Genomic DNA, 24,494 nt, shown 5'->3' with positions numbered 1-24,494 from the left:
TACTAAAATACAAAAATTAGCCAGGTGTGGTGCACCACACTTGTAGTCCCAGTGACTCAGGAGGCTGAGGCAGGAAAATCACTTGAACCCAGGAGGCGGATGTTGCAGTGAGCCGAGATCACGCCACTGCACTCCAGCCTGAGTGACAGACACTCCATCTCAAAAAATAAAAATAAATAAATAAATAAATAATAAAATAACGAACATCAAAGTTAGAATGTGGTCTAGCAGCTGCAAGCCAAGTCAACTTCGTCATAGTTAGCAACACTGCTCATTTACTAACAAACAAAACTGAATTTCCCATAAAATTACGTGTCATACCTGGCTTTTTCTGAAATTAGAAGGGTAACAATCAAGAATTTTTGTAGCTCTAAACTGTTATCCACTGCTTTACTCAATAAATTTTGGATGCTTTTAACAATGAAAGGAAAGAAGAGATCACAGAAAAAGCAGTTTCTAGATAAAGCTTGTGCATTGGCTAATGGTAGTAAGTCCTTCTGATGACCCTGAGCATCACTGCTAGCTTTCCAGTATGAAAAGCTGTTTTTAAACTCTTTAAGTAAGTGAAAAATTAACATTGCATACCATCTCACCCCTAAGTATACTTGCCTATCTCCTGACTTAGTCATCCCTTAACATTCAACAACTCAAGTGGTTTATTGCTCCAGTTTATTAAGCATTCCAGTTTTCCCAAAAACTGAGCTAAAGGCAACCACAAAATAGTTGTGTTCATCATATAAGCCAGAGCTGAAGACTGATCCCTAGTTTAAAAAGTCTATTGAAAATGTCAATTCAGCTTTTTCTCTGGCATACACTGATGTTATTAATCAGGCCATTATAAACAAAACCAAGAGTTATACTAGATAGGTTAAATGACTACGTAAATTGTGTAACTCTAACACTAACATTGCCTTACAATGTTAGTTGTAAGTTGCCTTACAAGGAGAACAGATCGATGTCCTACCTAAAGTACTACCTTTAGAGGGACTGGTAGGCTTTATCTTTAGAAGAACTGATTTTTGCCCTCTGTTCTCAAGGAACATTCAAAGTCTATGTAGGACACATCGTCAGTTTGAAAAAAACGAGGGGAGGGGGCAGCAATAAAATATGCCCATTTATTTTGAAAGGAGTTGTTGGGAAAACAAATATCTTAAAACTGAGAGCTACATAAATTAACAGTGTTTTGGGTAGTGACGTCTGTAGGAAAAATGAAACAAGTTTCACTGCTGATATTATTCAATATTTATATCATTTTATTTTTGCTAACATTTACAAACCTAGAAATGCCTTTCAAACCATCAAAAGGGTGTACACTGACAACTTGAAAAACGCTTTCCATACTGGGAGAAACAGTATTTCCCAAGTTGTTGAGAAAAGCTGATAAATTTTCAAAGAATTCGGAATATGGACCTTTTGTAGGTTTTAAGGAATGCAAACCAATTGAAAATGGAAGCCTCATGAGCTTTTATCTTAGAAAAATGCAAAATTACATACTTTAGGATCTCATCTTACAGTTCCTTCATATTTGCCAAAATGTACTTATTAATAGAAAGTCTTGGCTTATAACCTGTCTTACATGTGCAAATAGATTTGAAAGTTGAAACCTGGGACTAACATACCTAAATTTGTAAAATTTTATAAACCATAAACTGCATCACCAGTGCTATGTATTGTTTTTCTCCTCTCCCTCAGTAAATGGGCTGAAAGTTTGTAGAATGACATGCTACCTAGCTGCAACAGCACAACAGCAGAGTCAACTATTGCTCAGTCCATCTTTAACTAAGGTTTACAACAGGAATCTCCAACGTCACCACCAGAATACACAAAGAAAAATATATTTAAAAATTGACACTGAAAATATAGAGGAACACATTTCACTTTTTTCAACATAGTTACCAAAGTTTACACAGTTAAGCTGGAAAACCTTGTATTTAACGAAAAATAATTTTTCAAACAAGATTAGAATTTGTTCTACTAAAACTACCTCTGTTTCCCCTCTAACCAAAAAAAAAAAAAAAAAAAAAAAAAAGAAAGAAAGAAAGAAAGAAAAAGTGGGGATTACCAAAAAATACAGTCATTTTTAATACTAACATAATGGAAAAGGACAAAATGACAAGGTTAACGAGCAGAGAGACAAGATCAGCATTATGGCTAGTCTTTCTCTACAGTTCCACAATTCCTAACCCACATTTTTGCCAAATCCACATCCCACCCCACGCAGTACTTACACCTCCACCCACCTACTCACCCACCCCATTTATGACGGCGATCACCTTCCGGGCAGGTATGTGAAGTCAGCCCCATTTCCAGTAGACAATCGACTAGAATGTCTCAGGAGTGACTGAGTCAGAGAATAAGAAAATGATAAAGTGAGAAATTAAAACGGATACAAGTTGTAAGGTGTGTGGAGGGAGGGCGTCTCACAGCGGGGCTAAGGGTGCGGGTGAGGAGCTAAGCAGACTTGGGGCGAGAGAGAAGGGTTTCGAAGGAGTCCTAGGCAGGAGTGCGCAGGTGAGGCGAGTGAAGCAGCTCCAGCCAGAAGATCCAAAAAAACAAAACAAAACACAACAAAAAAAAGCCACAGCTTTTCCTCCGGGAATAACCTGAGGAAAGGGACTCTCGGGACGCCGCGGCGGGAGGCAGTCCCGGGAGGCACAGGAGGCCGGGAACTCACCACCTGGTAGCGCCCAGTCCCCGGCTGGTGGTGATCCATCCTGCCCGGCTCGGGATCCGGCTTCCGAGAGAGGGAGTCTTCTCCGTGCTCAGCTCCCACGGCCACCCCCGTCGACGACGTCGTCGCCGCAGGGCCCCTTCCGCCTCCGTTCCTGCAGCCGCGGTCTCCCGGCGGAAGCTCTTCACTTCCTGTGGCTCCCGCAGCGGCCGCCGAGACCTCCGCGTTGGTCGCGGTTCCGCGGAGAAGCTCCGGGGCGCCGCGCGCGCTATTGAGCATGCTCGGACCGCTCGCGCAGACTCGCTGGCTCCGCCGGCGTGCCATCCGCGCCGCCAGTGGGAGGGTATAGCTGGGTGGGAGGAGATGGAAAAGTAAGGCAAGTCCGGGGGAGCTGTCTAGGTTGTCAACCTGTCGAGTGGGCGGTCGCAAAAGGCGCGCGGGGGGCGGGAATGACCCGTCCTTGATTGGTCTTTTCTGTGTGCGCGAGTTTCGCGCAGGCACGAGCCAGTGCGCCTTCTCACCACACAGAGACAGAGGCTGACAAGGGATGGGGCCGCGTTCCTAGAACACCTGAGGACAGGTCGCCCGGGTACCCGACACTTCCTCACCCAGCGTAGGACATGGGGAGGAGATTCATCTCTAGAACATTCCCAAAACGCTTATTCAAAATCATTCGTAAGATAAGCGATTTTTTAAAGACTAATATAGAGTAGTTAGAGTTTACAGAAAAATTGAGAAGTTACAGAGATATCCCATATACACTTGGCTCCTACGCATGCATAACCCCCCACCATTATCAACATCCCCCCTCAGAGTGGTACATGTGTTACGACTGATGAACCTGCATTGACACCTCATCATCACTCAAAGTCCATAGTTACCTCAGGGTTCACTCAGGTTGTTGTATACTCCTCGAGTTAGAACAAATGTGTAATGGCAGGTATCCATCATTATAGTATCCTACAGAGTATTTCCACTGCCCTGAAATTCTTCTGTGGGGTAATTTTTGTTTTTGTTTGTTGTTTTTTTAGAGATGGGGTCTCACTATATTGCCCAGACTGGAGTGCAGTGGCTGTTAGCAGGCGCAGTCATGGCTCACTGTAGCCTCGAACTCCTCGGCCCAAGCTATCCACCTGCCTCAGCCTCTGGAGTAGCTGAGACTACAGGCACTAGCTCTTTGGTTACTTTTTAAACTCTTTTTTCCACTTTTTGGTAATAAGAGATTTAAAAATCCAACGGACTCTCCAGACAACTCTCAAAGAAAGAGGTCTCTAGAGTTCTAGGTTACTGGAAGGACGTTAGAAGAAAGTAATGAAATCAGATAGGATTATTTTGTGGTAATACTCAATAATTCCAATTGATTTAACAGCAAGGAATCACTTGGGAGCACTGTTAGTAGTATCTCACTGTCTGGTTAACCACACATGACACGGCATAAAGCATATTTCTCTAGCAAGTAGAAGAGTATGACAGAGCAGCGAAAAGTACCTTTTAACCTGAAGACCAACGTTCTATACCCTAAAAACTATGATGCTGCTTGATGTGGCCCAGCTATGTTTTTAACATAACACCACATTTTCCCTAAATGATCTTACAGTGGAGCGCCCTGAAGGGAAGGAAAGGGATCTGGAGCCCCATTTATTTCCTTCATGAATGTCCAGAGGAGATCCTTGAAATGAAGACTGCCACTGGGTGAGCCTAATCAACTGGTTAAAATAGCAAGATAGAATAAAAACAGAAACTCTTTGAGAGATTGACAACTAAAAAATGTAAGCCTTCCTCATAGTTCTTTTTAAAGCATTCATCAACTCTTCCTATTTGTGCCGTTTTGACATGTCTAATAGCATAAAGCATTACTGTGCTAACAATAAGAGGCAGTGATATCTCATACTTAAATATTGTTAAACTTGCCTTGTTTTGATCTTAATGTATTTTAGTTTCTAAGCCAATAAACATATGCCATTTTATTGGTATTACTGGTACAAACGCTCACTCTCACAATTTCACTCCAAATGGTATTGCCTCTCGATGACCAAAACAACAGCCAGTATCAGCAAACTGAAATTAGATCCTTATATCACTTACGATCTATAAGATTTATTTAGAACTTAATTTTATATGCATATGTGTTTTCATTAATCATTCATGTGTTCATCTGTTTCTCAAATAGATGGCTGCTCAGGGCAGAGACCATTTCTTACACCCAATGCAGCACTGAGAACATAAAAGTAAAAATCAAAGATCTGACCAAAAGCAGACATCTTGAATCCTGATAGAGTAACAGATTCTTTCTATTTTACCCTCCTCCCAGATTCTCTGAACATTTTGCTAATCTAGTGGAGTAACAAATTCAGCAGGAAAGCGTATTTGTAATGAGGAAGAGAAAGAGGGGAAGGAGAAGTAGAACAACAGCTTACTAGTATAGAGCCCTTTCTAAGCCAGTACTATACATCTATTATTTTAGCCTCACCAGAACTTCATGATATAGGCACAGTTGCACTCCTTGGTTAACAGATGAGGGGGGAAAATAAGGCACAAGGAGTTTCATGAACTTGGCTAATGCCAAATCACTAGTAGGTGATGACAGACATCAGAGCCTCCACCATATTAAGCACTATATTAAGCATAATGCACCTAATAAAGAAGAGTCCTTGTCTCTTTCCTCTTCCTAGCCACCACTACTGTGAAACGTGCAGAAGACATAAAAAGATAGCAATGTATCACAAAGAGCCAATCTGACTTCTTTAAATCCCACCTTCTTGATCTATGTAAAATAATAATTCTTATTCATCATCCCCAAAAGAGCCATTCTGAGCTTCTTTTGCCCACTTTACAACTAAGCCCATGTGACCTGTAATGGACCATTACAAGCAGAGGCACTGAGTTGTCCCACTAGGAGAAACTTACTTGAGATGCAGTGGGAATAACAATATTCTTTACCATTTTACAGACCTTAAGCAACATCCAATAATATTTTCAATCCCTGGTATTATGGCGACAACTCTAGTTATCTAAGGAATTTGCAGTGGTGCAGCACTAGAAGCTACCTCAAGTAGAATTGTAGAATTTTAGTGCACTTCACTAACACCTCTCATTCTGGCTTGATCAATTTTCATCTCCAAACACACAGCCACCCAAAATTTTACTAGTGCTGCTCTGCAGTACTGGAGTAGACATGGAGATAAGCTGCCCAGATTCCCTTTCAAGAAAGCACACTCTGCCCAGCTGGAAGGAATGTGGCTGTCAGACAACTTCCAATTGGTAGCTTTGTCAGGGTCTCCCTCAGCTTTCAACCTGAGGAGGTGCTATTTTCAGGGTGGCACCCAGCCACTAACTGAGCAAGGCAGTGGTACAAGGCTCTGGCTATTTTTGCCAGACACTGAAGCCCTTAAAGGGACAAACTTTCAGAGTTCCCTGTGAAGCTGGCAGAGACTTTTTCAGCTCTGCAGCATGTTGCGACAGCTCCCCCTGCCCAGTCCTTTTTATTTTAACAGACATTGCTCCGCAGTGAATCTCTTGCACTGAAAACTTTATATCAGCATCTGCATCCCGGAGAACCCAACTAAGACAAGTACCAATATGTACAGTGATAGAGCAGTATTATCAAAATTGTGTTAGATAATTACAACTATCATTTTACATGGTTGGTGTTTCATCTTCAGAATAACCCTCAGGACTCTACATTGTTAGCATTTTCTCATGTGGATGTAATGTATCTGTAAGCCTTCCTACTAAGAATGATTTTGATGTTGTTCTATAGTGTGATGCTATATAGAGTTCATGGGGACCTCTTTGCCTGAGGCGTACTTCCCGTTGGGAACCCCTCCCACCTTCCCAGAAGCAGGGCCATTCCCTCTAGAGGTAAACTAGCAACTTAACATTCATCATCCTCTTTCTTATATCGTCAGATATATTGAGCTGCACACCCAAATGCCAGGATTCTTCGTTGGGAGTCCCACCAGTTAAAGAGCAGTAAGACATGCCATTGCCTACAGAAAGCCGTCTACACAGGCCTAAATCACAGGGAGGCGATGTTCCAAATTTTCCTTACCACTTCACTGATTTTTAGTTTTTTATCACTTCCTCTACCACAAAGAACTACTCAAAGTGGCTATTGATGGTTAGTGTGATCACAGATCTTAGTAATGAATTGCATTTGGAATATGTGTGGTTTTTGTATAATTACCTGTAGAATGACTGGAAAGAGGTAAAATTACATTATCTGAAAATTTCTATTTCTACCTAATGAAAATTCACTAGCAATCATTTTCTGGACATTAAATTCTAAAGCATATTTTAGAAATATAAGAAACTATTGCTTTTCACATATAAATGAAAATTAACACAATAATGACTCCAGTTTTATCTCTGAATCTTTTATAATGTATATATATCTTTTAATCAGTTTGTAGGCTTGAACCTCAGTTTAGCTACACATAGTGTTTCTTATTTAACTGGTTCTGAGATTCCGTCATCTGTTCAGCTCTATAATTTTAGAGAGGATATCTAAGTGAGCAATTTTACAAACAAGTATCTACTTCTTTTTCCTCTCTTTATTCTCCTCCAGTATGTTGAAAGAATCTGAAATAAAACTTTTTATCAGTCAAGATTCAACTAGAGAAACAGAGTCAGCAGAAGACATATCCTAAGAGATTTATTGCAAGGAATTGGCTTACACAGTTCTGTGGGCTGGTCCAGCAAGTCCGGAATCCAGAGGACAGACCCCTGTAACTCTAGGGTTGGAGCTGAAGCTGCTGTCTACAGGCAGAATTTCTTCTTCCTCAGGGAATCCTCAGTTCTGCTCTTAAGTACATTTAACTGACTCAATCAGACCCACCCAGATTATTGAGGATAATCTTCTTTACTTAAAGTCAACTGATTCAAGACTTTAATTACATCTATTAAATCACCACAATGCCTATGTGAGTGTTTGAATAATTAGGGCTGTAATCTAACCAAGTTAATAGAGAGAACTGACATTCCCTGTTTATTTAAATACAACAAACTAATATAGTATCTATATAGTAAAGATAAAAGATAGAGGAAGGAACAGGAGAAAGGAATGAAGTACCAGAGAGTTACCTTAGAAATTTAAATGAATTTCCTAAATTTAAGTTTTCCTATCAGCCTTATATAATACATATATATGATGGCATCACCAGTAAACACTTGGAAAAGATCTGAATTCTGATAAGCTGCATCTCAGTCCTAACAATATTTTTATTTAGCATTTTCATTTTTCCTTTGTTTGGTAATAGGCAACAAATGTGAGCAAATCAGTAGCCATTTTGCTTTGGGGAATTCATATTTGAACTTAGAATAACTCATAAGTTATTAAAATAATCTTTGCTTTACCTTAGGTATGGAAGGCTGTTCTCTGACCATGCTAAAGCAGGACTTTCTATGTTGTCATCTCCTTTTTACTCTGTAAGCCATAGAAGAGCAGCACTGTCACTGAGGATAGGGCTGTTATGACAGGTGTCCCTTAACTGGCTAATGTGATTATTGTATAAGAAGACAAACACTGTGTGTGTGTGTGTGTGTGTGTGTGGTGTGTGTGTGTCTGTATGTGTAAAATATTAGGAAAGAGAAATGTCTCCTACACATCCAGATCTTCTTAACATGTTAATGTGCATTTGCTCTTTTTCTTTCATAACAGAAACCAGGCCTCATTTGTTTAACACAGTCTAATGTCAGTACACTGCTTCACCATTAGCAACATATTCTGATACAACAATAAGGTCACTATATAAGAAAGTTGCCTGATTTCCGCCCTCAGGATAAAGGTCACTCAATATCTGAAGGATAAAATGACAGTGATAATCAGATGGAATAACTTACCAGATGCTGCCTTTCTAGAACTAAGAAGAAAATTATACTCATTTCCTGGCTTTAACATTCAAATAGGTGAAAAAACTAGTGGCCTGACAATGCCAAAGTAAGCCAAGATAATGTCTGGAAAAAAAAAAAAAGGAAGTTCCTTTTGTATCTGGCTGGTATATCCTAGAAAAAATAAAATATTTATATTGCATTTCACTTCACCTAAATTATATGTGAAATTCTCATAAAATATCTATAAATTCTGTTTATGAAGATGATTGTTGAGAAATCTGGCATGATTTCCCCAGTAAAGGTGAAGACACCAAGTGGAATTCCAGATACTGACTTTTAAAAACAAAAGCATACATTTAAGTCTTTAATCCATCTTGAGTTAATTTTTGTATAAGGTGTAAGGAAGGGATCCAGTTTCAGCTTTCTACATATGGCTGGCCAGTTTTCCCAGCACCATTTATTAAATAGGGAATCCTTTCCCCATTGCTTGTTTTTGTCAGGTTTGTCAAAGATCAGATGATTGTAGATGTGTGGTGTTATTTCTGAGGCTTATGTTCTGTTCCATTGGTCTATATGTCTATTTTGGTAACAGTACCATGCTGTTTTGGTTACTGTAGCCTTGTAGTATAGTTTGAAGTCAGGTAGCATGATGCCTCCAGCTTTGTTCTTTCTGCTTAGGATTGTCTTGGCTATGCAGGCTCTTTTTTGGTTCCATATGAACTTTAAAGTAGTTTTTTTCCAATTCTATGAAGAAAGTCAGTGGTAGCTTGATGGAGATAGCATTGAATCTATAAATTACCTTTTCTTCCTATCCATGAGAATGGAATGTTCTTCCATTTGTTTGTGTCCTCTTTTATTTCGTTGAGCAGTGGTTTGTAGTTCTTATTGAAGAGGTCCTTAAATGTAAGACCTAACACCCTAAAAACCCTAGAAGAAAACCTAGGCAATTCCATTCAGGACATAGGCATGGGCAAAGACTTCATGACTAAAACACCAAAGGCAATGACAACAAAAGCCAAAACAGACAAATCGGATCTAATTAAACTAAAGAGCTTCTGCACAGCAAAATAAACTATCATCAGAGCGAACAGGCAACCTACAGAATGGGAGAAAATTTTTGAAATCTACACATCTGACAAAGGGCTAATATTCAGAATCCACAAAACTTAAACAAATTTACAAGAAAAAAACAAACAATCCCATCAAAAAGTGGGCAAAGGATATGAACAGACACTTCTCAAAAGAAGACATTTATGCAGCCAACAGACATATGAAAAAATGCTTATCATCACTGGTCATTAGAGAAGTACAAATCAAAACCACAATGAGATACGATCTCACACCAGTAAGAATGGCGATCATTAAAAAGTCAGGAAACAACAGTTGCTGGAGAGGATGTGGAGAAATAGGAACGCTTTTACACTGTTGGTGGGAGCATAAATTAGTTCAACCATTGTCAAAGATAGAGTGGCGATTCCTCAAGGATCTAGAACTAGAAATGCCATTTGACCCAGTGATCCCATTACTGGGTATATACCCAAAAGAGTATAAATCATGCTACTATAAAGACACATGCACACATATGTTTATTGTGGTACTATTTGCAATAGCAAAGACTTGGAACCAACCCACATGTCCATCAGTGATAGACTGGATTAAGAAAATGTGGCGCATATACACCATGGAATACTATGCAGCCATAAAAAAGATGAGTTCATGTCCTTTGCAGGGACATGGATGAAGCTGGAAACCATCATTCTAAGCAAACTATCACAAGGACAGAAAACCAAACACTACATGTTCTCACTCATAGGTGGGAGTTGAACAATGAGAACACATGGACACAGGGCAGGGAACATCACACACCGAGGCCTGTCAGGGGGTGGGGGACTGGGGGAGGGATAGCATTAGGAGAAATACCTAATGTAGATGACGAGCTGATGGGTGCAGCAAACCACCATGGCACATGTATACCTATGTAACAAACCTGCACATTGCGCACATGTACCCTAGAACTTAAAATATAATAAAAAAAAGCATAAATGTTACAAAACCACATGCACGCACACACACACACACACACACACGCAAATACTGCACAGGTAGTAGAAAATCAAAATTAATTTTTTTGTCTAAATGGGACAGATGATGTGGCTCCCTGTAGTCCCTGTAAGTTCTTTAGAACTCAGTTGTCTAGAAAAGAAAGAAAATGCATGTTTTCTTAGAACCATAAAACTTTAGCCTTTATTTATCCTATAACTTTGAGATCACCCACCCCAACAGCTTAATTTTAAAGATATGGAAACTGAGGCTTAGAGAGGTAAATGCAGCCTCAGAGTGATATCTAGGAAGCAACTCCATCTCACTTCCAGCTTGATTCAAATGTGGTAACTAATAAAACAATCCAAAATAGTCTATTGACCGTTCCTACCTCATCCAACTAGAAATAGCCTTCTAAAACAGCACTAATAAAAATCAGTATTATAAAACTCAAACACATTATGAACTCAACATGTCAAAAATGTTTTTGGAAGAAACATTGCAGGCATTGTATTGTCACCAAAAAGGATAAATTCTAATATAGTTGTGAATCCTCTCAGGGGTTGATGCTTTAAAACAAGTAAAACATCAACTTTTAAAAGTACAATAAAAGTGTCCTCCACAAATAATCATTGAAAATACAATAAGTACCTAACATTAGTTGTATGTATTCAAGCTTAAAAACCAAAGAATCCCAACTCCACACATACATTTCCATTTATATAAGGTTGGGATAAAAGAGAAACTAAACACGTAAAGTATGTGGGAGCCTACCTCGCTTAGTCCAGCCTCCAAATTTTGACCATGGGACTTTACCATGATTCCTGAAACAATACAACTACACTGTCCAATATAGTAGCCACTAGCCACATATGACCACTTAAATATAAATATTAAAATATTAAACATTCAGTTCTTCAGTCATACTGGCCACATTTCTAGTGCTCAGTTACCACATGTGTCTAGTGGTTACCATGTGGGACACAGCAAATATAGAACATTTGCATCATCACAGAAAGTTTATTGGATATCATTGCTCAAGCAAATATTCTCTTACTATTCACCTTGCATTATTCTCCTTCCAGCTGGGCTCACACCTGTAATCCCAGCACTTTAGGAGGCTGAGGCAAGAGGATCACTTGAGCTTAGGAGTTAGAGGTTGCGGTGAGCTATGATCACGCCACTGCACTCCAGCCTAGGTAACAGAGTAAGACCCAGAGATCAGCCTCAGCAACAAAGTGAAGCCTCTGTCTCTACAAAAAATAAATGAATAAAAAAATTAGCCAGGTTCAGTGGTGTGTACCTGTAGTCCCATCTGCTTGGGAGCTTGAGGCAGGAGGATCCCTTGATCCCAGGAGTTAGAGGTTGCAGTGAGCTATGATCACATCACTGCACCCCAGCCAAGTTAACAGAGCAAGACCTTGCCTCAAAAACAACAACAACAAAACATCTCCTTCCTTCACTTACTGAATTATCCAAATAATTTTGTAATAGCCATGGTCCCAACTCTGCTGTATATTAGCAAGGTGATCCTGGATAAGTCACTTAACCTGCTGAGCTGGTTTGCTCATCTTTAATGTCAGAATATTAATTCCATCCCTATCTGTCAGGTTGTTGTGAAGCTCAACATATATTTGTATATATGTTATATTTGTATATAACCATACAAGTATAAAGGCTTATAATTTTCCAGTGGCTCTCAAAGAAGAAAAAAAAAGAAAAAATTTAAAATATTTTGCACTTAAAATATGGAGTAAAAATTGTAATTCAGGGAGGGTGGAGACTATCTAATAGAACAGACAAGTCAATTAGGTCTCCCAGCTTGACTCCATATTTTTTCTACGCTATGTGTCTGGACTTCTACCTTACATAATAACTCGTCACAAAATTCGCAATAGATTCCAGTGTGTGTAACCATAGAAAATATGTCGCTAGTTGTTTATCCAGAAGTGAAACTATTACTATGTTTGTCGATCATAATATGGCAATAATAGCTAACATTTATTGAATACTGCTAGCATTTTGCTAAGTCTTCATATGTATCAAGTCACAACTTCATATGTGTCAACTCACAACAAACATATAGAATAAGTACTATTACCATTACATATATCAGGAAACTGAGTCTTAGAATCCTAAGAAATTTTAACAAAGGTCACAAACAACTGGAGAAGGGAGATTTGCTGGCTTTTTTTTTTTACTTTAACAACTTTTTATCACAATATACACCAATACAGGAAAGTACACGCCTTGTGTATACTTTTATGTACTTGTACCCCTTGATGATTTTCCACCAGCTGAATAAACCCATGCAACCAGCACCCACATTAAGAGATAAAATATTTCCAGAACCTCAAAAGACCCCCTGGCACACTTCTTGCCTCTACCTTTGTACAAAGTATAACCGTTATCCTGACTTTTAACACCATAAATTAGTTTCCACAGTTTTTTAACTTTATGTACATAGAAGCATACTATATGTATCCTTTTGAGTCTGATTCATTTTCATGTTTGCAAGATTTATTCATATTGTTGGGTGCAGTTGTAGTTTATTCATTTTTGTTGCTGTATAGTATTTCATTGTGTGAATACGCTATTTATTTACCTGTTTTACTAAATAAATATGACTGGTGAGCATTTGAGTTCTTTCTGTTTTGGGTCTTGCATTAGTTTCCTAGGGCTGCTGTTACATAGCACCACAAACCAAGTGGCTTAAGCAACAGAAATTTATTGTCTTATAGTTCTGGAGGCCAAAAGTTCAAGATCAAGGTGTCAGCAGGTTGATTCCTTTGAAGGGCTGTAAGGAAAAATATGTTCCATTCCTCTCCCATACTTCCTGGTGGTTTGCTGGCAATCTTTGATATTCCTTGGCTTGTAAAAGTATCACCCTGATCTCTGTCTTCATCTTGGTATGGCATTTTCTCTACGTACATTTCTATATCCAAATTTTCTCAATTTATAAGGTCAGCAGTATAGTGGATTAGGGACCCACGTTTTTCCTGTATGGCTTCATCTTAACTAATAAAATCTGCAACAACACCATTTCCAAACAAGATCACATTCTCAGCCCAGGACTTTAACATGTGAATTTGGAGGGTGGAGGGGACACAGTTCAACCCATAAGAGAGCTATTACGAACAATGCTGCTAAGAATACTCTTGTACATGTTGTGGTGAATATACGCACTGATTTCTGATGAGTATATTCCTACAAATGAAAATAGTGTGTGTATTCAGCTTTAGTAGATGCTGCCAAATGGTTTTCTAAAATGTTTATACCAATTTTTCCTCCCATCATCAATGTATGGGAATTCCAGGTGAGCCACAGCTTCACAAACATTTTATATTGTCTCTGTTTCTTATTTTAGGTGTTCTGATGAGACTATAGTTGTATCTGGTTATTTTAATTTGGATTTTCCAATGACTGTTAAATTCTTCTTTATATGCTTCTTGACCATCTGGAGGTCATCTTTGCTGACCTATTTATTTGTCTATTTTTGTACTGAGTCTCCTACTTTTTTTCTTGGATTTGCAGCAACTCATTATTTTTCGGGAAATGGGTCCCGTGTTAGATATAGAAATGCAGATAGAGATATTGACGTCCCTTTTCATTCTTCTTGGCTTCAGGAACCAGGCTCAGGCGAATGGTCAGATGTGGTAGATTTCCCTCACTTTCTGCTTCTTTCTCTACGCCTGTGTTGAAAATGCCCAAGGTAGAAGAGGAAAAATCATATTACAAAATAGGGAGAGGAGGAATAAATTGGTACAGAACTGTCCATCAACAGATGGGCTCTTTGAAGTTTTGTTTTGTTTTGTTGGTTCTTTATTTGACCTTTAGTTTCAGGGAGCGTGTTTGTCTATGTGAACATCCCGGGGACTATCTGTCTCTTTCTTTTGAAGTTTCCTTCAGAACACCTTAGCAATTTTGCCTGCTCATCTCTTTTCTTTATAGCTTTTTATCTGGGCTTACTTCCCCTGCCTTCCAGCTCTGGCTGCAGAGGATTGGATGTTTCCACTTTCAATACCTAACATAAGACCTGCATAGAATAAGGCCTCATTATTGATTTGGTGACTAAAATTGGTTGAAGTTTCCCTTCCATTGCTATAAAGAAATAACCATAAGATGCTGTATCATTTCTTAAGAATTTTTAATTTCAACAAGGAAATATTCCAGGAGGTTTTAAAAAAGTATCATACTTTGCAAATGAGGTTTAGAAAACTTCTAATAGTTCTCCATGAATTTTTCTCTGATTTTCTCTAAGTAGAGTTCTCTAAATTTTTCCCTGATTTTTCTCTAAACAAAAATAGGTCTGACCACTTAAATGGTACCTCATTAATGATCTCCTTTTATTTATTATTACAGATAGTCTCTTGTGATCCTCAACCATGTGTTGGTTCTATAATGAGCTAGAACTCTACTGAAGAGACTTTATGGGTGACTGTTTTACTCTGATAAAATATAAATAACATAACATTCATGATTTTAACCATGTCTACATGTACATTTTAGTGACATGAAGTACATTCACATTGTTATGCCACTGCCGCCACCACCACCACATCTCCAGAACTTTTTTATCACCCCAAACTGAAACTGTGTACCCATTAAACACTAGTTCCCCATTCCCATCTCCTTTCAACCTCTGGCAACCACATTTCTACTTTCAGTCTTTATGACTTTCACACTTCTAGGTACCTTATATAAGTGGAAGCAGGCAGTATCTGTCCTTTTGTGTCTGGCTTACTTCATTTAGCATAATGTCCTCGGGGTTCTTCCATGTTGTAGTATATGTCAAAATCGTATTGCTTTTTGTTTGTAGTATGTGTCAGAATTTCATTCCATGTTGCAGTAAGTGTAAGAATTATTTGGTTAAATAATATACATTTGCATTATATACCACCTTTCCTTTATCCATTCATCCACAAATTAACATTGGGTTGTTTCTACTGAGTTATTTTATTTAATCTTCATAACTACTGCCCTTGGCAGAACTAAATTTTAGAGTTGCTTCTGTTACTCATACAGCAGCTGGCCCTGGCCAAGTTGAATTTTCGCTTTGTATCTTAATTTCCTCATTGTAAAATGGAAGTGAAAATATCCACCTCACTGGACTGGAGTGAGGATTTAATAAAATAATGAGATACCTAGAATAAAGTCTGCAAATAGTAGGTATCCAACAACTGACAGCTAGAAACATGACTCCTGTTGAGTGGAGACAATTCAAGACAGTTCCATACATCTCAGGAGTCCAGACTAAGGTAAGCAATGTGTCTCTTGCTTTATCAAAAGTCATCTTAGGTTGTACATATGTGGCATGTCCTGAAGATATTTTTATCTTGTAAAGTACTAAAATCAGTGAAAGAAGACAGGAATCATTTGTGAAACATGAACTTTTTCTTCTGCCCACAATCTATTTGCTAACCTCAGAAAGGTCAAGTCAAAAAGTTCAATTTAAGGAGTACTAATGATTTGTCTGTGGAGAGAACTGTTTTACTTTGTTTATCTGAAAAACAAAATCATATCTTTAAGAAATATAGACTTAATAACTCATTATAAATAAAAACATCTTCAGATTCAACTAAAACTAATCTAAGTATCAGGGTAAGCATCTGAGGAAATAAAAGGCCAAACCTTTTCAGCTAGATTTTTTATGAACTTTTATAAAAAACTGGATTTAGATTGCCTCTAACTTAAAATATTACTATAACCATAAATAACTTTTAAATTATCTTCATAATTTTAATAACTAAAGTTTTATAATAAACACTTTTCTGATAAAAGAAATTTTGAACATACAAAAGGTAGACAACAGATTTATTTCAGGTCTTTTTTTCTAAGCATAGTTTTTTGAGGGGAGAGGGGAGATTAAACATAATGAATAATTCTCTATATTCAATTTTATGTCCTTTTTTCACTTAACTTTATAATATAATTACCTACATGGGATTTTTCCAAAGTGATGAGAAACTTCATGAACACATTTTTAACAAGTACTTAATCATTCTCTCTTAATCCTTCTCTAAGCAAATTATTTCAAGAGCAATAGTATAGCAAAGCAATTAAAAAAGGATTGAAACAAATTTCTGGGTTAAAATTCTGTCTTCCACCAGTTGCTAGCATAAACTTGGGGAAGTTACTATTTCTCTGTCTCAGTTTCTTCGTTGAAAAATGAGAATGTTAATGGCATACCTAGCTTTTAGGGTTGGTATAGGGGTTAATATGTTAAAACATATAAAATGCTTAGAATAGTGCCTCACATATGGTAAGCATTCTATAAATGTTGACTTATTATCATTAGCTATTTAAAATCCTTGGTTTGATATGTAAATAATGAAATCTTAAAAGAAGGTAGATTAAAATGAACTAACTACAGTTAAAATTTATATCATTATTGTTGTGGACTGAATTGTATCCCCTTAAAATTCATGTGTTGAAACCTTAACCCCTGAGTGACTGTATTTGAAGATAGGGCCTTTAAGCAAAGTAATTAAGTTTAAGTGAGGTCACAAGGATGGGGCGCTAATCTGATAAGATTGTTGTCTTTACAGGATAAGGAAGAGACACCATAGATCTCTCTTTCTGCATGCATGCACAGAAGAAAGTCCATATTAGGACACAGTGAAAAGATGGCCATCTACAAGCCAGGAAGAGAGGCCTTATCAGACACCAACGCTGACAGCACCTGGATCTTGTACTTCTAGCCTCCAGAACTGTAAGAAAATATATTTATGTTGCTTGAACCACCCAGTCTGTGGTGTTTTCTTATGGAAGCTCTTCAGACTAATACAGTTGTTTATAGACAACTTATTTATAATGCTTTTTCAGTATAAGTTTTAACATCAAGAAAATATTTGATGTCAAGTAGTATAACTACTAATTCCTGATTTTTTCATCTACGGACTTTTTTATTTTATTTTTCACTTGTCCAAAGGATGTATATCTTAACTGAAAAACATAATTTGTCAAGGCCAGGTGTGGTGGCTCACACCTGTAATCCCAGCATTTTGGGAGGCCGAGGTGGGTGGATTACCTGAGGTTGGGAGTTTGAGACCAGCCTGACCAACATGGAGAAACCCCGTCTACTAAAAATACAAAATTGGCTGGGCGTGATGGTGCATGCCTGTAAATCCCAGCTACTCAGGAGACTGAGGCAGGAGAATCGCTTGAACATGGAAGGTGGAGGTTGTAGTGAGCCGAGATAGTGCCATTGCACTACAGCCTGGGCAAGAAGAGCAAAATTCCGTCTCAAAAAAACAAAAACAAACGAACAAACAAACAAAACATAATTTGTCAAATCTTCTAAAGAAAAGTGCTTAAACATATAAATGATAATCAGTAAATTTAAATGTTTATTTCCCAGTTGCATTAGCCACTCAACAGTTGTACTAGCCACTTTGTTGCACTGGTCAGTTCAATAGCCATATGTGATTAGTGGCTAGCATATTAGACAGAGCAGATACAGTACATTTTCATCATTGCAGGAACTTCTATTGTACTGAGCTGTACTATGTCTGTAGCCAGAGAGTGGCATGCTTGGATTATGCATCATTTCAAGAGTAGTGTGTTTTTGTCACAATTTTATGCAACTCATTATGCAATATTTAGACATTAAAAATTGTTTATAGCTAGGCAAGGTGGTGCACACCAGCAGTCCCAGCTACTTGGGAGGCAGAGGCAGGAGGATTGTTTAAGCCCAGAGTTCAAGTCTATCCTGGGGATGGAAGGAAGGAAGGAAGAAAGGGAGAGACAGAGGGAGGGAAGAGGAAAAACTTGTTTCTAGTATGAACCAAGCTTAATATCATTTGAGAATAATCAATCATCTATGGTAAGAATAAAATACAAGTAAAGCAATATGTGAGTACAATATACAGGTCTTATTTTACATTTTTCTTTTCTGCATTAAGTGAAAAACAACTCTCAATATACTTACCAATGTAATCTTTTCAAATACTTAATAATTAAACAGATTTAATACAGCTTTTTTTAAAAAAAAAAGTCTTTAAAATTAAAAATTATAATTTGCCCCAGCTACTCAAGAGGCTGAGGCAGGAAAATCACTTGAACCCAGGAGGCCGAGCTTGCAGTGAGCCAAGATCACGCCACTGCACTCCAACCTGGTCGACAGAGTGAGACTCTGTCTCAAAAAAAAAAAATTATAATTTGCTCAGAAGTAGAGAGACCAGTATAATAAACCTTCATGAATCTATCACTCAGTTTCAATGATTATCAATTGATTACCAATCTTGTTTCATCTATAACCTCCCTCTTCTCACCACCTGCCCTCCACTGGATTGTTTTGAAGCAAATCTAAGACATGATATCATTTAGTCTGTAAATATTTTAGTATGTGTTATGGTCTAAACAGTTGTGCCTCCCCAAAATTCATATGTTGATATCCTAATGCCCAGTGTGATGATATTAGGAAATGAGACCTTTGGGAGGTGATTAGGTCTTGGCTGAGCTCTCATGAATGGGATTATTGCCCTTAAAAAGGGGCTCTAGACAGCTCTCTTGCTTTCTTTCTGCCATGTAATAATATAATGAAAAGTCTGGAACCAGGAAGAGTGCCCTCACCAGAACCCAACCATGCTGGCAGTCTGATTTTTGTATTTTCAGCCTCCAGAACCATGAGAAATAAATATCTGTTGTTTAAACAGGGGTCCCCAAACCCCAGGCCGCGGACTGGTACTGGTCCATGGCCTGTTAGGAACTCAGCCACACAGCTTGAGGTGAGCGGTGGGGAAGCGAGCATTACCGCCTGAGCTCCATTAGATTCTCATAGGAGCGCGAACCCTATTGTGAACTGCGCATGCAAGGGATCTAGGATCCACATTCCTTATGAGAATCTAATGCCTGGATGATCTGAGGTGGAACAGTTTCATCCCCAACCATCTCCTCACCCACCACCGTCTGAAAACACTGTCTTCTACGAAACTGGTCCCTGGTGCCTAAAAGGTTGGAGACTGCTGGTTTAAACCACCTAGTCTATGGTACTTTGTTACACAGCCTAAACTAAGACAGCACGTACCACTAAAATATAAGAACATTTTTAAACGTAATCACAATATCCATTATCATAGCTTGAAAAAAAAGCCTAAACAGTAATTCTTAATATTATCAAATATATAGTCATTAAATGTGACCTTTTTTAAAAACAAAAATACTTAGTTTTTCTGACTTTACCACAAAATATCAAGGTTGGGAAGTGCCTGTGATTATGTCATCAATTTAAGGTCACTGATCACTGATCATCTGATGTTAGAAACACTATAGATCTGGAACTTAAAAGTTGAAAGAAAAAAAAAAAAGAAACACTATAGTTAAGTATTCAGGAAATGAAAGCAGTATGTTTTATCTATCATTTGCCAACAAAAACAAAATGCTTCAGAAGCAAACTAAAAAATTATCAGTAGAAACAAAAGTACTTTAAGCTATCCAATTAATCAATTTAGGTAAAATAATCCTAATAATAAAAACAAATCACCCCTTCACACCCACTAGGATAACAACTGAAAAAAAAAAAAAAAAAAACAGAAAAATAACAAGTGTTAATGGGGATTTGGAGAAATCGGAACACTTGGGCATTGTTGGTGGGAATGTAAAATGGTACAGCCATTGTGGAAAATAGTATGGCCATTTCTCAAAAACTAATATGGTAATAGAATTACCATATAATCTAGCAATTTATTAATAACTTCTGGGTATATAAAACCCCCAAAAGTGAACATAGGGTCTAGAAGAGATATTTGTGCACCCATGTTCATAGTAGCATTATTCAAAATAGCTAAAACATGAAAGAAAACTAAGTATCTTTTATGGATGAATGAATAAGCAAAATGTGGTATATACTTAGCACATTATTACTCAGAAGGAAATTCTGTCACATGCTACAAGATGGATGTATATTGAGGACATGATAATAAGTGAAATAATTCAATCGCAGACAAATGATTCCATCTATATGAAGTACTTAGAGTAGTCAAAATCATAGAGACAGAAAGTAGAAGGGTGGTTGCCAGGGGCTGTAGGGTTGGGAAAATGGAGGGTTATTATTTAATGGGTAGAGTTTCTGTTTTGCAAGATGAAAAGAGTTCTGGAGATGGATGGTGATGACAGTTGTACAATAATATGAATGTAGCTAATACCACTGAACTGTACACTTAAAAACAGTTAAGATGGTAAATTTTATGTTATGTGTATTACCACAGTAAAAAAAATTGGAGGGAAAAAAATAATACTATCCTATTTGCAAGAGAAGACAAATCTTGTGCATAAAGGGTGATACAAGATAGATTAATAAATATTTTGCACATGTGCTTGCAAATCCAACATACATACACCATACACAAGTGATCCCTGTATATCTTGAAGAAAGATAATATTATTTACATCATTTTTGCTTCAATATTGTATAATTTCTAGTTAATATGGAGATAATTATTAATAATAAAAATGATTGTGAAAACATGAAAGGTTGATGATAAATGTCTGCACAGGTGGGAGGAAATAGACTGTTCTACTCTGTTGAAATATCCTACTCCCAGGCCAGAAGTAAGAGCTGGACAATGGATTGTGAAACATTTGACCTATTTAGCACAGAGGCAAATAGACAAGGCATACTATCATTTGAATTGAGGTTACTAGCTGGAGTTACTAGATGCATTAGAAAATTTTGTAGCCCAGTAACCAAACCAGCATGATACTGATACCAAAACAGATATATAGACCAATGGAACAGAACAGAGGCCTCAGAAATAACACTACACATCTACAACGATCTGATCTTTGACAAACCTTACAAAAACAAGCAATGGGGAAAGGATTCCCTATTTAATAAATGGTGCTGGGAAAGCTGGCTAGCCATATGCAGAAAACTGAAACTGGACCCCTTCCTTACACCTTATACAAAAATTAACTCAAGATGGATTAAAGGCTTCAGTGTAAAACCTAAAACCATAAAAACCCTAGAAAAAAACCTAGACAATACCGTTCAGGACATAGACATGGGCAAAGGCTTCATGACTAAAATACCAAAAGCAACTGCAACAAAAGCCAAAATTGACAAATCAGATCTAATTAAATTAAAGAGTTTCTGCACAGCAAAAGAAACTATCATCAGAGTGAACAGGCAACCTACAGAATGGGAGAAAAATTTTGCAATCTACCCCTTTGACAAAGGTCTAATATCCAGAATCTATAAGGAACTTAAACAAATTTACAAGAAAAAAAACAACCCCATCAAAAAGTGGATGAAGGATATGAACGGACACTTCTCAAAAGATGACATTTATGTGGCCAACAAACATATGAAAAAAGCTAATCATCACTGGTCATTAGAGAAATGCAAATCAAAACCACAATGAGATACCATCTCACACCAGTTAGAATGGTGATTATTAAAGTCAGGAAACAACAGATGCTGGAGAGGATGTGGAGAAATAGGAATGCTTTTACACTGTTGGTGGGAGTGTAAATTAGTTCAACCGTTGTGGAAGACAGTGTGGCGATTTCTCAAGGATCTAGAACCAGGAATACCATTTGACTCAGCCATCCCATTACTGGGTATATACCCAAAGGATTGTAAACCATTCTACTATAAAGACACATGCACACATACATTTATTGCAGCACTTTTCACAATAGCAAAGACTTGGGACCAACCCAAATGTCCATCAATGATAGACTGGATAAAGAAAATGTGGTACATATATACCATGGAATACCAAGCAGCCATTAAAAAGAATGAGCTCACGTCCTTTGCAGGGACATGGATGAAGCTGGATTTCAGCAAACTAACAAAGGAACAGAAAAACAAACACCACATGTTCTCACTCATAAGTGGGAGTTGAACAATGAGAACACATGGACACAGAGAGGGGAAGATCACACACCAGGGCCTGACGTGGGGTTGGGGGCAAGGGGAGGGAGAGCATTAGGACAAATACCTAATGCATGTGGGACTTAAAACCTAGATGACGGGTTGATGGATGCAGCAAACCACCATGCCACATGTATACCTATGTAACAAACCTGCACGTTTTGCACATGTATCCCAGAACTTAAAGTAAAATTTAAGGCCAGGCACGGTGGCTCACACCTGTAATCCCAGCACTTTGGGAGGCCAAGGTGGGTGGATCACAAGGTCAGGAGTTCAAGTCTAGCCTGGCCAAGATGGTGAAACCACGTCTCTACTAAAAATACAAAAATTAGCTGGGCCTGGTGGTGGACACCTGTAATCTCAGCTACTCGGGAGGCCGAGCCAGAGAATTGCTTGAACCCGGGAGGCCAAGGTTGCAGTGAGCCGAGATTGTGCCTCTGCACTCCAGCCTGGGCGACAGAGCGGGACTCCCTGTCAAAAGGAAAAAAAAAAAAAGGAAAATTTGGTAGCCATTGTAGGACTTTATAGGGAAGAGGAAGATAAAAGAAATGTGAGAGAGCCAAGGGTAAAAAACAAAACAAGAAACAGGTAAATACGCTCCCAGTTGGTTTTAATGAGGTGTATATATAAACCTGAGTTACTTTTTTTTTTTTTTTTTTTGAGACAGGGCCTCACTCTGTCGCCCAGGCTGGAGTGCAGTGGTGTGATCTTGGCTCACTGCAGCCTATGCCTCTCGGGTTCAAGCGATTCTCCTGCCTCAGTCTCCCGAGTAACTGGGATTACAGGCGTCCACCGCTGTGCCTGGATAATTTTTGTTTTTTTAGTAGAAACAGGGTTTCACCATGTTGGCCAAACTGATCTCGAACTCCTGACCTCAGAAGATCCGCCTGCCTCAGCTTCCCAAAGTGCTGGGATTACAGGTGTCAGCCACTGCGCCCAGCCCTGTGTTACATTTTGTATTTTAATTTTTTTTTTAAGTGCCAGCATTTGTAAAATTGATTATATGAACTTTGAAATCCTGTCCACTTCTAAATCTATATCCTAAGTTTCAGTTGCCTTTAGAAATTTTAATTTACATTCTAACACTTCTTCCCTCGGAAATAACTTGTTGGATTTAAATATATACATATGTGTGTGTGTGTGTGTGTGTGTATATATATATATATATATATATATATATATATATATATATATATTTTTTTTTTTTTTTTTTTTTGAGACAGAGCCAGGCTGGAGTGCAGTGGCGCAATCTCGGCTCACTGCAACCTCTGCCTCCTGAGATAAAGCGATTCTCCTGCCTCAGCCTCCTGAGTAGCTGGGACTATAGACGTGCACCACCATGCCCAGCTAATTTTTGTATTTTTAGTAGAGACGGGGTTTCACCATGTTGGCCAGGATGGTCTCGATCTCTTGATCTCGTGATCCACCCACCTCGGCCTCTCAAAGTACTGGGATTACAGGTGTGAGCCACCCCCGGCCTTAAATATTTTTTAATTTAATCATTCAGTGGTTCATCTGGGCATTCTTTCTTTTAACAAGCAGCTACAACAGTCTATTAAATATTATGACCTTGTGGTATACAGTGAGGGCCACGAAAATGAATCAGATACCTTGTCTGTTCTCAAGGAGCTCACTGTTGGTAGTAAAGGCAGACAGGCATATGAGTAATTCCTGTGTCTTAGAGGATAAGGAGGACTGGGGTTAAGAGGTGGACTAAAGGTTTTCCAAGTAGAAGCAGCTTTGACGTTGTACAAGTAAAACCTGAGAAACAAGAAGGTGCAGTGCCTGGAGAAATTGCAGGTGATTAAGTATTCTTGGGGGGTGGGGAGTGATGAATGATTGGGGTGCACAGTTAGGAGTGGTGACATAAATAGGAGCTCTGCTAGGCATGCCAAGGAATTTGGATTTTATCCTGAAGGCAAAGAGAAATCCTTTAAGGACTCAAATTAGGAATGTGACAAGATGTATGAATTTATGACGTTCAAATTGAGGATCAGTTGGAAGTGTGTTGCAGGAGAGTAGAGGCATGTAAGGCATGGTAGAGCAGCTGAAAGAGAGCTACAGTATCCCTAG

General features: G+C 38.3%; 1 protein-coding gene and 1 long non-coding RNA gene across 4 annotated transcripts in view, besides 1 other annotated feature; one reads left to right on the top strand and one right to left on the bottom strand.

Moving 5' to 3' along the window:
- Positions 1–3,044, bottom strand: part of NDFIP2 (Nedd4 family interacting protein 2) — a 74,923-nt gene extending 71,879 nt beyond the window's left edge. For 2 of the 3 annotated variants that reach the window (NM_019080.3, NM_001161407.2), the window contains exon 1: positions 2,675–3,044. In NM_019080.3, the coding sequence (NP_061953.2) occupies positions 2,675–2,995 (321 nt within the window). In that variant the 5' untranslated portion in view covers positions 2,996–3,044. The remainder of the gene's footprint in view (positions 1–2,674) is intronic. The other variant, NM_001394685.1, reaches the window with a different exon arrangement.
- NDFIP2-AS1 (NDFIP2 antisense RNA 1) lies at positions 2,968–6,835 on the top strand. Its single transcript, NR_046685.1, has 3 exons — positions 2,968–3,047; positions 4,269–4,363; positions 6,580–6,835. It is a non-coding gene; the product is annotated as an NDFIP2 antisense RNA 1 (long non-coding RNA).
- Positions 15,145–15,254: a silencer, noted in NCBI's record as "silent region_5427". NCBI's record gives its function as "represses an Ori minimal core promoter by ATAC-STARR-seq in GM12878 lymphoblastoid cells {active_cell/tissue: GM12878}" and the evidence as "EXISTENCE:reporter gene assay evidence [ECO:0000049][PMID:35858748]".

Source organism: Homo sapiens, chromosome 13, assembly GCF_000001405.40.
Source record: "Homo sapiens chromosome 13, GRCh38.p14 Primary Assembly".
NCBI classification, from domain to species: domain Eukaryota; kingdom Metazoa; phylum Chordata; class Mammalia; order Primates; family Hominidae; genus Homo; species Homo sapiens.
Note: the sequence above shows the minus strand (reverse complement) of the source record. Positions and strands in the feature narration are given on the sequence as shown.